Source organism: Homo sapiens, chromosome 6 (genome assembly GCF_000001405.40).
Source record: "Homo sapiens chromosome 6, GRCh38.p14 Primary Assembly".
Classification (NCBI taxonomy): Eukaryota; Metazoa; Chordata; class Mammalia; order Primates; family Hominidae; genus Homo; species Homo sapiens.
Genome location: NC_000006.12, coordinates 145,684,626 through 145,701,554, shown reverse-complemented (window position 1 = coordinate 145,701,554; position 16,929 = coordinate 145,684,626). Strand labels below are relative to the sequence as shown.

At 34.8% G+C, this 16,929-nt stretch overlaps 1 protein-coding gene across 16 annotated transcripts in view; it reads left to right on the top strand.

Moving 5' to 3' along the window:
* EPM2A (EPM2A glucan phosphatase, laforin) overlaps nt 1–16,929 on the top strand; it is a 352,671-nt gene that overhangs the window by 34,469 nt on the left and 301,273 nt on the right. For 14 of the 16 annotated variants that reach the window (NR_153398.2, XM_024446550.2, XM_011536113.3 and 11 more), the window contains one exon: nt 15,259–15,433. Coding sequence is in view for 12 of the 16 variants with exons in the window: in XM_024446550.2 (XP_024302318.1) it covers nt 15,259–15,433 (175 nt within the window). In the remaining 4 variants the exon portion in view is untranslated. Of the gene's footprint in view, nt 1–14,677; nt 14,712–15,258; nt 15,434–16,929 lie in introns of those variants that run through there. The other 2 variants (XM_011536116.2, NM_001368132.1) reach the window with 1 other exon arrangement.

The window sequence follows — 16,929 nt, the reverse complement described above, 5'->3', positions numbered from 1 at the left end:
TAGTTCTGGCTCATGAGATATGGGAAGGCAAGGCTCTCAGGAATGCTTTTGCTTTTCTCATGAAAAGGAACAAAGGCTTAGCTGGCATGGTCCTTCACCCTTCTTCATGGTTAGGACTCCAGACATGATGCCTAGAGGTGACCCTATGAACATCAGGTTAGAAGCTTGACAAAAGTCAGCATGTGAAGGACGGCAAAGCAGACATTTAGGAAGATCTTGGTGTTGACCAGCTCTGGGCTACCTGGCTTCTCACCTCTAGTTATGTAAGACAGAGTCTTATATTAATATTTGTTTAGGTCACTGTTAACCAGATTTTCTGTTGCTTGCAATCAGACATAGTTCTGAAAGAAAGAAAATTCTTCTTCAGTTGTTTCTTATACATGTGTAGTTTATGATTACGGCAAATTTTAGGATAATCTAATTGCCAGGATTACGCCCTCTTTTATTTTCAGTTTATAATGTCTTATTAAAAGGATTTAAAACAACCTAGTTTCTCAATTTCATCTTTAAAGATTGTATTTGGTCACTTTATCCTCCATTTCAACTAGCTGTATATTTCTAGTTTCTTTCCAATGCATATGTGATATTCATGTCAACTGTATGCCCTTAATATTCGTAAAATATTTTTGCCATGGAAGAAAGCAATGTGTGAAGCTATCAGGGATGGTTTTTGCAGCAGAACTAGATCAGCTCAAGGGAGTGTTTTACTAAATTATTTAGTCCACATTCTGGAAAATCTTAATTGAAGACATATTTTATGCCAAATATGTTCTTACTATGAAACTGCCAAAATGCATGTTTACCTAGCTAGCTGGGTTAGGATGGAATTAAATGTAAAATATTTCTCAATGTTCTGAAGAGTTCCAGGATGAATAGTTATATTCTGTGTTCTCTGCAACTAAATGTTGGACACTGTTGAGATATAGCTACTAGGGAAGTTATCTCCTTCTGCCTCAGCATTATTTGTATATTTAAGTGCACAAAGATAGGTTTTTTTTTGTGTGTGTGGGCTTTAAGGTATACGAAATGAAGTAGCAAAATGTGGTTAGAAAAATTTGCTTATACAATGAGACTAATACTGATATAGATGCTTTATCTATTTTTAACATATGACTTGGATTTGTGTTCAGGCTATGAATAGGGAAATTTCTAGTTAATTCTGAGAGTGCCATGAAGGAAAAAAAATGAACTACCAGTCTTAACAACAACAACAAAAGTCTAGACACTGCCATGAAAATTGTTTTAATGACAGTAGGAAAATCAACATTAAAGATTATTAGAATAATTAAATCAAAATTTATTAAACACAAAAATAAACATCTCTGCATGTGACATAGAAAGTAAATTTCAGTATCCAGCAAATGTTTCCAATAATACAGAGATGGCACATTTTAATAGGTTGATCTTTAGTCATAGTATAATAAACTGCCAAAAGTTTTGATCACATCAAATTAGGTGGTCAAATCTTTTGGCATCTCTTTAGATTATTATCACATTGAATGAATTATTAATAATTCAATCTTGATGGTTTGAGTGAAGCCTATTAAGAGTAATCTGAGTTTCAGATTTGATTTTAAAATTATATTTCAAGAAAGCTCTGTTATTGTGTTTAATTTTAAATGAAAGCATAATTGTCTGGTAATGCCATTGTGGAATTTTTTCAGCATAATCTACAACCTTTGAAATGCTTCCTATTTTGAAATATGTTTATCATCATGAATCATTAACTAATGTAAATGCTTTGCATTAAAAAATGCCTTCTTAAATACAGTAATGGTTAGAGATGTGTAATTCTGTTCTTCACTTTCCAAGTCATGAAATCCAGTTGTTTTACAGTGCTGGCTTTGGAATTCAGTCAGTAATATGGACATCCTATGGGCCAGTGTTGTCACTCTACCCACTGAAATAAACAGATTTGTTCTTATCCATTTCCTAACTTGAATCATACTTATTCATACATTCTTGTACTCTTTGTCATGTGTCTAAAGCATATCCTGTTGTTCATCACAGCATAGCACCCATTCCCTCTATTATAAATCCTTTCTCAGTAATTCTAGCCCATACTGATATTACCTTCTCCAACATAGTCCATTTTTAGTTTTCTACATTCATATGCACACCACAAACCTATCATAATTTTTCTCTCCCAGTGAGCCAGTTGATCCTTAGAATACAACTCAGCATAGCCTTTCAGTCATCATACATGGAAAGTGGCATTTGAGATGAGGCCTATTTGCAATCCTTTGGTACTCTGTTCATGTTTCAGTTAACATACAGTTTTAAAATTATTTTCATAATTTAGTTTCGTTTCACTCACTAATGGCTTCCTATAACTTTTATCTAATCAACAGAAGTTCATTTATTGTGGGAATCATGTTTTAAACTTCATTTATTACCCCTTCCTAGCATAGGACTGGATACATAACAAGCTCTCAATCATACTTGATTATTAACTGGATTAAATTGGAATATTTTGCATATATGAGTGTATTAGTCTGCTAGGACTGCCATAACAAAATACCACAGACTGGATGGCTTAAACAACAGAAGTTTATTTTCTCACAATTTTGATGACTAGAAGTCATAGATCAGGGTGCTGGCAGATTCCGTTACTGGTAATGCTTCTCTTCCTGGCTTGCAGATAGCCACCATCTGCCTGTATCCTTACGGTGTTTCCTCAGTGTGCTTGAGGAGAGAGAGATCTCTGGTGTTTTTTCCTCTTATGGGGTGTAATGGCATTAGGACTTCACTCTGTGATCTTGTTTTACCTTAATTAAGGTCCTATGTTTAAATATAATCACATTGGGAGGTCAGGGCTTCATTATATAAATTTTGGGGTGGGGGAGACACAATACAGTCCATAACAATGGGATATTCAATTATTAGTATTTTAAAAAATGCACGATTAAATTTTACTTTTGCTTTTACCTTGTTTTTTTTTTTTCTATTATGTTTCTTCAAATTAACTTGGTATAAGCCTCCATTTCATCCATGTCTTTTTATAATCATAGAAGTTTTTTGTTGTACTATTTTCTGCTCTGTATGGTTTGACAGTTGTTAATTAAGTCTTCCCTTAAAATTCTTAGCTGGAACTGATCAAGGTCCTTCTGGGAGTTTTCCCTCAAAGATCCCCACTGGAGGCTTGGCAGATAGTGAATCCAAGGCTAAGCTTTGTCAATCACTCCTTCTGTTTCCTTTTTCTGCATGCCTTGAGCTTACCTTTGAGAGGGCTAACGCGTCATACTGGACTGCTAAACAACTGTCTCAAGGACATTTGTCTATTTTCTCATAGAATTTGAAGCATAACAAATGTCTCAAGGACCTTTGTCTATGTTCTCATAAGCATTTGAATGACCTTAACTCTAATTGTTGAGAACAAATTGTTGCGGGAGGTCAGGGACCCTGAACGGAGGGACTGGCTGAAGCCATGGCAGAAGAACGTGGATTGTGAAGATTTCATGGACATTTATTAGTTCCCCAAATTAATACTTTTATAATTTCTTATGCCTGTCTTTACTGCAATCTCTGAACATAAATTGCGAAGATTTCATGGACACTTATCACTTCCCCAATTAATACCCTTGTGATTTCCTATGCCTGTCTTTACTTTCTTAATCCCATCATCTTCGTAAGCTGAGGAGGATGTATGTCGCCTCAGGACCCTGTGATGATTGCGTTAACTGCACAAATTGTTTGTACAGCATGTGTGTTTAAACAATATAAAATCTGGGCACCTTGAAAAAAGAACAGGATAGCAGCAATGTTCAGGGAACAAGAGAGATAACCTTAAACTCTGACCGCCAGTGAGCTGGGCGGAACAGAGCCATATTTCTCTTCTTTCAAAAGCAAATGGGAGAAATATTGCTGAATTCTTTTTCTCAGCAAGGAACACCCCTGAGAAAGAGAATGCGTCCCTGAGGGTAGGCCTCTAAAATGGCCGCTTCGGGGGGCGGCCATCTTTTATGGTCGAGCCGTAGGGATGAAATAAACCCCAGTCTCCCATAGTGCTCCCAGGCTTATTAGGACGAGGAAATTCCCGCCTAATAAATTTTTGGTCAGACCAGTTGTCTGCTCTCAAACCCTGTCTCCTAATAAGATGTTATCATTGACAATGTGTGCCCGAAACTTCATTAGCAATTTTAATTTTGCCCCGGTCCTGTGGTCCTGTGATCTTGCCCTGCCTCCATTTGCCTTGTGATATCTTATTACCATGTGAAGCATGTGATCTCTGTGACCCACACCCTATTGGTACACTCCCTCCCCTTTTGAAAATCACTAATAAAAACTTGCTGGTTTTACGGCTCCGGGGGCATCACGGAACCTGCCGACATGTGATGTCTCCCCCATACACCCAGCTTTAAAATTTCTCTCTTTTGTACTCTGTCCCTTATTTCTCAGATCGGCTGACACTTAGGGAAAATAGAAAAGAACCTACGTGAAATATCGGGGGTGAATTTTGCCCAATATCTGGCTGAATTTCCCCCAATAACAAATGAGGCCAACCTATTATGCACCAAGTTATGAGCCCACTGAGTTGTAATTCTACCATAATTCTGTGCAGTAATTGTCTTAGGCTGTGTGGCTCATTTTTTGACTAAAAGAGCTAGCCAAGTTTACATATACAGATGTACAGAAAGGCTGGTGCTCATGTATCCAAAATTTCACAATATTATTTGTCATCAAAATAACAATAATCATAGTAATCAGTTTTCTACCTTGAAACACACCACACACACACACACACACACACACACACACACACACACACACACACACACATACCCCTACCTGTGCCAGATGTTTGATTCATTACTAGGATCATACTATCATATTTGATATTTTCTTTCCTGATCCTCCAAATTCTAACTTCCTTATCAAATATATTTTCATTTATTTTAGAAAACCCTGTTATCTCTAATTCTAGTACCTGTTTTAATCATTGCTGTATGGGTTACTTATTTGTCTTTATAATTCCTATTTCTATTATTGATATTTTTAAGGGAAAAATCATAATTGTATATGTGTATGGGGTACATTGTAATGTTTTGATATGAGTATATATGTGGAATAAGTAAATCAAGCTAATTAACACATATCACTTCACTTATTTTATGTGGAGAGAAACCTTTGAAATTTATACTCTTAGCTACTTCCAATATATTATTGACTTTAGTCACCCTACTGTGCAATGGATCTCAAAAACTTATTCCTTCTGTCTAATTGAAATTTCTCCTTTTTTTGATATAGGCATTTATTGTTATGAACTTCCTTCTTAGAATTGCCTTTGCTGTGTCTCATAGGTTTTGATATGTTGTATACCCATTATCATTTGTCTGAAGATGTTCTTTAATTTCCCTTTTGATTCCTTCTTTGACTTATTAGTTGTTCAGGAGCATGTTTAATTTCCACGTATTTGTAAATTTTCCCAGTTTTCTCCTATGATTGAGTTCTAGTTTCATATCATTATGGTAGGAAACAATACTGGATATGATTTCAGTCTTCTGGAATTATTAAAGACTTGTTTTGTGGCTTAACATATGATCTGTTCTGGAGGATGTTCTGTGTATATTTGGGAAGAATGTGTATTCTTTGCCATATATTTCTGTTAGGTCCATTTGGTCTAAAGTGTAATTAAAGTCCAATGTTTCCTTATTGATTTTCTGTCTAAAAAATGATGTTCTGTCCAATGCTGAAAGTGGAGTATTAAAGTCCCCTACTATTACAGTATTTCAGTCTATCTCTCCGTTCAGATTGCTTAATAACTGCCTTAAATATTTAGGAGCTACTATGTTAGATGTATATATATTTATAAATGTTGAAGAATTGACACCTTTATCATTATATAATTACCTTCTTTGTCTTTCTTTACTGATGTTTGACTTAAAGTCTTTTTCGTCTGATAGAAATATAGCTACCTCTGCTCTCTTTTGGCTTCCATTTGCATGGAATATATTTTTCCATCCCTTTATTTTCCATCTACGTGTGTTCTTACAAGTAAAGTGAGTATTTTGTAGGCAGCATCTAGTTATGTTTTGCTTTTTCAATCTATTCAGTCACTTTATATCTTTTGATTGGAGAATTCAATCCATTTCCACTCAAGGTAATTATAGTATGTAAGGACTTATCTTACTGCCTTTTCATAATTTGTTTTCTGGTTGTTCTGTGTATCTTTTATTCTTCCTCTTGTTGTCTTTCTTTGTGGTTTGATTGTCTTCTGTAGTGATATGTCTTGAATCCCTTATTTTTATATTTTGTGGAAGTATAATAGGGTTTTGCTTTGCAATTACCATGAGGTTTACATAAAACATTACCTGTAACAGGCTATTCTAAGCTGTTACCAACTTAACTTTAATCAAATACAAAAGCTCTCCATGTTTACTCCTCCCTACCACATTTTATGATTTTGATGTCAAAGTTGGCAACTTTTTGTAATTTGTATCCCTTAACAATTTATCAAAGCCACAGTTGTTTTTAATAGTTTTGTCTTTTAACTCTCATGTTAGAGATAAAATTGCTTTACACATCACCTTTCAAGCAAAAGACTATTTTGAATCTGACTGATACCACTGAATTTTTTCCCTTCATGTATTTTATGTTATTAATTAGTGGTATGTTTTCTCAGCTTAAAGAACTCACTTTAATAATTCCCATAAGACAGGACTAGTGGTGATGAATTCCCTTATTCTTTATCTCAGGAACTGTATTCTCTCCTTCCACTCTAGAAATCTGTTTGTGAATGTGGTAGGTTGTACTGACAGTTGGGGAGGAGGAGAAGAGAGAAATATTACAGAAGTGCATAAAACTTCACATTAAATATTAAAAGATGCTTGCCATTTACTGCTCTTTGGTGGTCTCATGATCAGGGTATTTTGACTATCTTTTATTCTTACATAGTTTTTCTAGCTGGATCTTCTTTCTTCTCTTTCTGCATCTCACCTTTCCTTCTTCTTGTCAATCTTAACACCTCTTACTTCATCCTCTCCTTCACTGATTGTATCTCAGGTTTCCATTTCATTAGCAAGGACAGTTTAGCTGTATCTAAGACTACCCCTGAACTCAGCTATTTTCTACGTTTGCATTTTGCCATTCATCAAAGTGCTCAACTGGAACAGGATTCATCATCTCAAAGAGGCAGTTGGTTGAACAAAAAGATTTTTTGTGCGTTTTATTTCTTTGTTTTTGCCATTAGAAGAGAACATCAAAGTGCCGAAGAGTTTGTAATGACTATATCATGTTTGTACAACTTTATGCAATAATAGCTTCCGAGGTAGTAACAGATGGGGCATGAGAGAGATCAGATGTGGGTGAGTTAATAGTTAAAATTAGAGATTAATGTGTTAGAATCAAAGCTTATGTTCATATGCTAGAAATGAAACATTTAAAATAATTAAAATCCAAAGAGGATAGTTCAAATAAAATAATATGAATAATAATTGTAAAATTTATTTTGCTTAAGGAGACTACACCTATCCAATAGATATTTAACCAATATAATTTCAAAACTTCTGGATTTATTAAGAAATACACATATTTTAACCGAAACTCTCAAACTTATAGAACTATGTAAAATAATGAGTTAGTTGTGAGTTTTTAAATTCTAGGGTTTCTTATTTCTGTGGCTTTAATTGGAGTGCCAGACAGCAGTTCCCTTACTCCTACACATTTACTCACTTCGTTTGAAATCACCTAACTTGCCTTGATGAACAAATAACAAAGTAGCTAAAACTGTTCTGAAGAAATAGATGTTTTTGTTAATTAAACCAATAATTTTCTACTTTTCTACCAAAAATACAGATTAGTTTATCCCAACATAGTGAGCGATTTATATGTTTACTTTTTAAATTTTAACTTTGATAAATTTATTTTTTAATTTTAACTTTTACAGATTTAGGGGTACAAGCACAGTTTTGTTACATGGACATATTGCACAGTGGTGAAGTCTAGGCTTTTAGTGTGTCTGTCACCTGAATAGTGTACATTGTACCCAGTAGGTAATTTTTCATCCCTCACCTCTTCCTACCTCCCCACATTTTGAAGTCTCTAATGTCTATTATTTCACTCTGTATGTTCATGTATATCCAATGCTTAGCTTCCATTTATAAGTGAGAGTATGTGGTATTAGACTTTCTAAGTTATTTCTCTTAGAATGATTGCCTCCACATCCAAATAGGAAGACACGAAGTCAAACTATCCCTGTTTGCAGATGATATGATTTTATACCTAGAAAACCTCACAGTCTCTACCCAAAAGCTCCTTGTTCTGATAAACAACTTGAGCAAAGTTTTAGGATACAAAATCAACATATGAAAATCATAGCATTTCTATATACCAACAGCATCCAAGCTGAGAGCCAAATCAAGAATGAAATCCCATTTACAATAGCCACAAATAGAATAAAATACCTAGGAATACAGCTAACCAGAGACATGAAAGAATTCTGCAACAAGAATTGTAAAATACTGATCAAAGGAGTCAGGGATGACACAAACACATAGAAAAATATTCTATGCTCCTTGATAAGAGGAATTAATATTGCTCAAGTGGCCATACTACCCAAAGAAATTTATAGATTCAACCCTATTCCTATCAGCCTACCAATAAAATTCTTCACAGAATTAGAAAAAACTTTAAAAATTCATATGGAATCAAAAAAGAGCTCGAATAGCCAAAGCAATCCTAAGCAAAAAGAACAAAGCTGGAGACATCACATTACTTGACTTCAAACTATACTACAAGGCTATTGTAACCAAAACAGTATGGTACTTGTACCAAAATGGACACATAGACCAATGGAACAGAATAGAGAGCCCAGAAATAATGCCAGACACCTAAAACCATCTGATTTGACAAAGTTAACAAAAATAAGCAATGGGGAAAGGACCCTATTCAATAAATAGTGCTGGGATAACTGGCTAGCCATATGCAGAAGATTGAAACTGGACCCCTTCCATATACCATATACAAAAATTAACACAAAACAGATTAAAAACCTAAATATAAAACCTAAAACTATTTATTATTGATTTCTAGTTCAATTCTGTTAATGTCAGAAAACACAATTTGTATGATTTAAATTTTCTAAAAATTTGAAGTTGTTTTATGGTACAGGATATGTTCTATCTTGGTTTATGTACTGTTGAACATGTGCATTCTGCTATATTGGGTGCTGTATAAATGTCAACTAGATAATGTTGGTTGATGGTGTTCTTGAGGTTTCTAATATCCTTGCTGATTTTCTGTCTAATTGTTCTAACAATTGTTTTGGGTGAGGTGTTGAGGTCTTAAACTATAATTCTGGAGTTTTAAAATTCTTTCAGTTCTCTCAGTTTTTTGCTTTACGTATTTAACCACCTTACTGTTTGATATATACACAGTTAAAGTTGCTGTGTCTTCTTGTTAGATTGATACTTTAAACATTGTATAATTTCCCCTCTCTAGTAATTTTCTTTTCTCTGAAGTATACTTTATATAATAGTAATATAACTACTCCTGCTTTTTGATTAATGTTTGCATAGTATATCTTTTTCTATGCTTTTACTTCCCACCTGTGTATATAATTTGAAGTGAATTGCTTCTAGACAGCATATAATTGATTCACTTAAAAATTATTCTGCCAACTTTTGTATTTTCATTGGTGTATTTAGACTATTTAACATAATTATTGGTATGTTAGAGCCTAAGTTTGCCATTTTATTTTTTGTTTCTGGTTGTTTTCTCTTCCTCCTTTTTCTCTGATTGTGTGGCATGTCTGGTTCATAATTGAACATTTTTTTAGAATTCTGTTTTGATTTACACATAGAATTTCTATATACATTATGTATATTATATACCTAACATCATAGTTGACTGGTATCAACCTTTTACGAGTTTGAGTGAATTTTAGAAAACTTACCTCCTTTTTCATTCGTTTGTCCTTCCTCATTTGCAATATAATTGCCTTAAATATTTCCTTTACATACATGTAGAATAGCATCAGACAATGTTAGAATGTTTGCTTATTTACTTATAATTTTGTTTACTGTGCTCATTCTTCCTGTTTTCAAAGAGTTTCTTTTTGTTTAGACATCTTCTGTTAGTCATTTTTAAGATAATTCAGCGGCAAAATTTTCTTAGTTTTCCTTCATAAGCATGTTTTGATTTTCCCTTTTTTTCCTGAAGGAAATAGTCACAAAGTAAGATTCTTGGTTGACAGTTGTTCTTTTTTACAGCACTTGAAAAATGACACTTCCTTTGGTGACTTCTGATGAGAAATCTGCTCATATTAGAATATTTTTTCCTTTACATTGCTGTTTTTCTCTGGCTACTTTTATGATTTTCTCTGTTGTTAGTTTTCAGAAGTTTAAATATGTCATGTCTCGGTATTGATTTCTTTGGGTTTATGTTGTTTGGACTTTGCTCACCTGCTTGAATTTGTAGGTTTTGCCTCTTGCCAAATTTGAAAAGTTTTCCGGCATTATTTTCTTAAGTACTTTTAAGCCCTACTATCTTTTCCCTCTTCTTCCAAGACTCCAATGACATAAATTTAGATCTTCTGTTAATAGTACCACAAGTCCCTAAGTGTCTGTTTTTTTTTTTTTTAATTCAGCCTACTTTTCTGTTGTTTGCTGTTTAGATTGGGTAATTTCCATGATTCTATCTTGAAGTCTGTGAATTCTTTCCTCTGTCCCTTCCATATTGCTCTTAAACCCATCTATTGAGTTTTGAAAATTTCAAATATTGTGTTTTTCAGTTCTAAAATTAATATTTAGTTCCTCTTTTCATCTTCCATTCCATTGCTGAGACATTCCGATTCTTCATTTGTTTGAAATGTGTTCTAATGGGTTACTGAGGCCTTAAAATCTTTATCACATAATTATCACATAATTCTAACATCATTGTTCTCTTGGTGTTGGCCTTTATCCGGCATCTTTTTTTTTTTCCATTTAGTTTGAGATCTTAGTGGTTATTGGTATAATGGGTAACATTCTATTGAAACCTAGACATTTTGGGTATTATGTAATGAGGTTAGCTCTTTTTTTTTTTTTTTTTTTTTTCTTTTGAGACGGAGTCTCGCTCTGTCGCCCAGGCCGGACTGCGGACTGCAGTGGCGCAATCTCGGCTCACTGCAAGCTCCGCTTCCCGGGTTCACGCCATTCTCCTGCCTCAGCCTCCCGAGTAGCTGGGACTACAGGCGCCCGCCACCGCACCCGGCTAATTTTTTGTATTTTTAGTAGAGACGGGGTTTCACCTTGTTAGCCAGGATGGTCTCGATCTCCTGACCTCATGATCCACCCGCCTCGGCCTCCCAAAGTGCTGGGATTACAGGCGTGAGCCACCGTGCCCGGCCTGAGGTTAGCTCTTATGCAAACCTTTGATTTTAACTGAATTCTTCTGACACCACTCCAGCAGAAGAATGGAGGTCCCACCTTATTACCCAGGTTCCTCACACTGTTTCCATTCATAACCAAACCAAACAGACTCCTCCCTGAGTGGGGTGGTAGTTCTAACTCTCCATTAGGCCTCCATTGATAGCTCCCTGGCTGAGACAGGGAGGAATGCCTTGTTACTGCTTCCTACATGGCATCCACTGATGGTCGGGTGGGAAGGAGGTGGAAATCTTGACTTTCCACTAGGTCACCTTTGTCACGATCTCAGTGGAAAGAAGGGGCACCTCGTTACTGCCAAATGGAGGTGGAAGTCCACCTTTCCACTTGGACTCCACTATATTGCCAACGATGATGCTGAAAGTTTCAGACCCCTACTCATCCTTCTCTGACACCATGATAGTGAGTGGGTTGAGGCACTGCAATACAGCTTGGCAAACAAAAGTGGAAGTGTACCCATGCTTGGCCTTTGCTGGCCTGAGTGGGTGTGGGGCCACATTTTTTCAGTGGGTTTGACTGGAGTAGTGTAGTTATTATCAAACAGATTTCTGTCTGGCTAGGCTTGTCTTTTCATTTGGCTAGAGAGAATGGACTTTTGTCATGTTTTCTTTTTCTGTCCTTGTGTTACCAGGTTGCTGGCTTCTTCAGATCTAAGTCTGGGATATATAAGGCAAAAAGAAAATGCAGGGAACTCAATACTTAGGTCTTTTCTTAGGTCTCAGTGTCCCTGGATAGTCTGTCTTCTTCTCTTTGTCTTTCAAAGTTATCTTATGTTTGTTTATTTATAATTTTCAGGGTTTTAAATTATACTTAGTGGGAGGACTAGGGAAAAGTACATTTATTCCATAGTTCTCCATGCAGAAATCTCCAAAACCAAAATTATTTTACTATTCATTTTTGCCATTTCATTAGGTGAAATTAAAAAGACAATAACCCATCCTCTAAAAGACATTTTAATTATTAGAACATATTTTGAATAACTCAGTTTACTATCCATGAAAGACTTTTAAAAATGTTGCCTAAAACATAAATGTGTAAAAATGAGTAATTAAAGAAATCACTCTAGGAATGAAGAATTCTTATGAAGATGATGACACATAAATAATTCTTCTTGACCATTGTAATTTATGAATATTTGATCTCTTCAACAATTATATTTTTAATAGGTAATAATTCAATTGTTGTAAGTCAATTATACTGACCAATGGGAGCCACAGATATTGTTTTATTTAACTAAAAAAGTAACACCCGCTCCTTGTAACTAATCCAATCAATTCAAAACAGTTGACTATGACAGTTCCCCTCCATCCAATTCCATTTCCTAGAAGTAACCATATCCAGTTTGTAGTCTATGTTTACACTTTCAGTCATGCTCTGCTGCTTCACTTAGTCACTCCTACTTTTCCTTTTCAGCTCCTCTATTCATCTTTTGTAAGTTTATCCTTCTCTCGCTGGCTGTTAAACATTGAAAAACTTTCAGACTTTGTTCTAGAACTTTTTTCCTTATTAATATTGTTTTTCTTTGTGACTCATCTATGTTCCTATTTCAATTACCATTTACACTCAAATTACTCATATATTTATTTTTTTAGTTCAGATTTCTGGTCTTAATGTCAAATGAGTAACTCCAGCTCTCTTTTGAGGACTCCTTTTGGATATCTAAAGAGCACTCCAAACCCAACATTGCCAGAACTAGATAGATGATCTTTCCTTACAGCCTCTTTCAGATTTTGCATCTCAGTGAATAGTGCCACTGTATATTGAATTATTTTCACTAGAAGCTTAAGAGGCATTGTTAATCCCCTTTCATCTTCACCTTCCTTTTCCAATTAATCACCAAGTCCTGTGGCCTTTCCCTCTTGAATCTGCATAATCCTTTCAAAGTCTGTGACCAAGCTTCATCATAAACTACCTAGGCCAATATAGTAGTTTCTTAAATGGACTCTCTGCTTCTATCTGATTGTTCTTGAATTATTTTTTTACTCTGTAGCCAGAGAGGTATCCTTAAAATAAAATCTGGTTATGTTACATGCCTGCTTAGAATATTTCAAATTTTTAGTTGCTCTTATGATAAATATCTGAGTTCTTAACATGACCTAGCACAGTACCTGTCTCAATAAATATCTGTAGAAGAATGAAAAAAAACTTATATGGTTTACAGTATTTTCTATTAAAATAGTATTACTGTACGCATGTATCTCTGTGTGCATCAGAAATTCTTTTTTCTTAGTAATATTTCTGTTGGATATGTTTCTAGAAGTGAGGTTGCTAGTGTAGTTTGGTTTTTATCTATTAAAAATGAAGGTTAATAGAGATGTGGTGCAGCACCTTGTAGTCGTCGAGAAAAAAAATCCATTAAGAGAAAAAAGAGGAGACTGATCTAGGAAGATCAGTAATGGTTTATTAAGAGAGTCATCCTGTACCTTCTGTCTGATGGAAGGAGTTATATCTCAAAGAAACATCAAATAATTTAAGGATTTTTTGAGAGCTTACGCCAAGCAAATTTAGGTTAAATATTTTGTAAGACAGAACAAAGAGAAAAGAACAAATGAATCACATTTTTGTATTCATAACAAATGTGATTTATTTCTGTAAACCACTCATGCATTTAGTTTGCTTACATGTCTTTCTTACAGTACATTATACTTAGGTAGTATAAAGAGAGGCATGATTTGAAATGGGATGATAAAAAGGTAGTAAAAATAATGTATGAATTATAATTTTTGTAGAAATCAAGGTTTACTAGTATGTAAGACCATTTGAGCTGCTATAAACAAAACACCATATATTGGTTAGCTTATGAACAATAGAAATTTATTGCTTACAATTCTGGAGGCTGGGGGGTCTAAGATTGAGGCATACCAGATTCAGTGATTGGTGAGGGCTCACTTACTGGTTCATAGATGGCGACGACTTGCTGTGTTCTCACATGGTGGAACAGAGCAAGGGGTTTCTTTCACCCCTCTTTTATAAGGGAGCTAATCACATTTGTGAGGGTTCTTCTTCATGACCTAATCATCTCCTAAAGGCCCCAGCTTCTAATACCAACACCTTGGGTGTTAGGATTTCAACATATAAATTTTGGGGGGACAAAAACATTCATACCATAGCAACTAGTGTAGTTGATACTGGGCAATCGTGAAATAGGCAAATAATATTTTTAGAGATGTGTGTCTGCTTCCTTTGATCCATGGCCCTGGAAGGAAGATGGTGTGTCTTTGTGCATGTGACATCAGCAGGGAGCATCACAAAGGCATCAGACGCCAGAAAGGTGGGGGACTAGGAGAGGCAGGTGCTACTAGCTCCGCACTACTAGTTTTGTGACCTTGGGCAAGCTAGTTAATCTCTGTGAGACTTGTTTTCCTCATTTGAAAACAATAATAATAACTGTTTTACCTGTAAAGTAGATTTGATGTGGTCATTTATTACTTATTAATGCATTTATTTATAATTATGCATTTTTTTGTTGAGCTGATACTACAACACTTTATTCCTGATTTTATTCGTAAATTTGCATACCAGAAAGATAGAAGTGTATAATACAGGGGCATTAATAGCTTTAAAAACTTTTTTTAGGAGCTTCTCAGGCTGCAAAGTGATTCATAATGGCCTCTTAGAGCACTGAGAGGTACCATGAAGCTCTGAAAGAGTTAACATGCTTTTTATAACCCATGTACTCAAAGGGAGTAAAAAACTCTGATTTTCCTAAGTAGCTCTTTACAAATTCCTACCGTTCTGTTTTTCACTCTAGTCTTTTTTGTTTATACTGAAATGTGTAGATTAAGTAGCTTTATGTTTATTTTTTTCTTGCTATTAATTTTGTATCAGCTGCTTTGAGGATATTTAAACAAAACACTGATTTAATTGCTCTGTTTATCATTTTTTCTTGTTCTAGGCAATGGACCTCATCATGACCGTTGCTGTACTTACAATGAAAACAACTTGGTGGATGGTGTGTATTGTCTCCCAATAGGACACTGGATTGAGGCCACTGGGCACACCAATGAAATGAAGCACACAACAGACTTCTATTTTAATATTGCAGGCCACCAAGCCATGCATTATTCAAGGTAAAAATAGTGCTATATTTATAGGCATAGAAGTAGGACAAGAGATAGCATTAGCACAATGGAAATATTTACTGTGTTCGAAACTGCAGTGCCTCACTTGGGAGGGGTCTATAGGCCTGTAGTACTTTGAGGAGAAAATTACAGTGAATCAGTGTGTGAGATTTTCTGGGTCTAGATGTGGAGGATTTTAAAAATAGAATTCTTTAATAAATGCATACCCTAGCATCAATATGTTTTGACCAGATAGTAGCTAACCAATCTGTGTACTTATGTAGTGGATTAAAAATAAGAACTACACTAAAATAGACTAAATTAATATTTGTGTCCTTTATGCTACTGACTACCAGTGAAACAAAAATTGGTATTTCCTTATACAATCTTATCCAAATAAATATGTGTGAAAATACAGGCACAGAACTAGATTGAATGTGATTATCTGCTTTATTATTTGTTAATATTTTGATTTATTTGTTCATTTAATTCCTAAACCAGGAGGTTGCTAAATAAAACATAAGGCTTATTATCCTTTTCTCCTTTCCCACTCATCAGAAGTGATTATTTTTAATCACTTTATGGTTAGTTTTTCTTGAGATTAAATCTAAACCTTAAACAATATGCATATGTGTTGCTTGTTAATGTACCAGTTTAAAAATAGCTATTGATTCCCCTCTATTACACATAAGAAATTGACATCTCTCATACTTGTCCTCTCTCCCCACTCCAGTCCCTACCAGGCATTTTTTGAGAAGTTCCATTGTTACTTACCATCATACAAATTCTATGTCTTGACCCATCAATTTTTCACAGTGTCTCCTAGTTTCCTACATTGTAAGAGTAGAGATTTTTTTTGTTCCTGTATTTTTTTCCACATCTATTTCCACCTACTAACTCCTGCTTTTAAATTACTTTTATAATTTCAAGGCTTATAGAATTTACATTAAACTTAGTAAATATAAATGTCTTTCACACTTCGATTATTTAAAATTTGAAAGCAATTGCCAACATTTAAAATATTATGTAAGTGTTATTTATTGTAGAACTTACAGTGTTTGTACCATACACAAGGAGATGCATTCTCATATTCTTAAAGAATGTGTTATTTTGAATGAGAGATACAATTAATATAAACCGAGTTGTGAGAGGTAAAAGAGAGAGAAAATGCAATTTCACAATAGTTTTAGGGAATTAATAGTCCTCTTGAACACATTTTTCTTTCAAACTTCTGGTAGATGTTGGCTTTGCTGATGGGTTGTATGCACAGAATGAGGAAGACAAGAGTTAAGCATGTCTCGTGGTTTTATGGCCTGAGCTACTGTAATGGTGTTGCCACTTACTGAGATGGGGAAGACTAGGAGATGAGCAATTTGAAGTAGGGATTGAGGTACAAGTTCTACTTTAGTCATTTTTTGAAATGTCTGTTAGATTACAGGAAGGAAATTGATTTGATGTCAGAAATTTTATGGAGAGCTTGGAAATAAAGATATAAAATTGGCAGT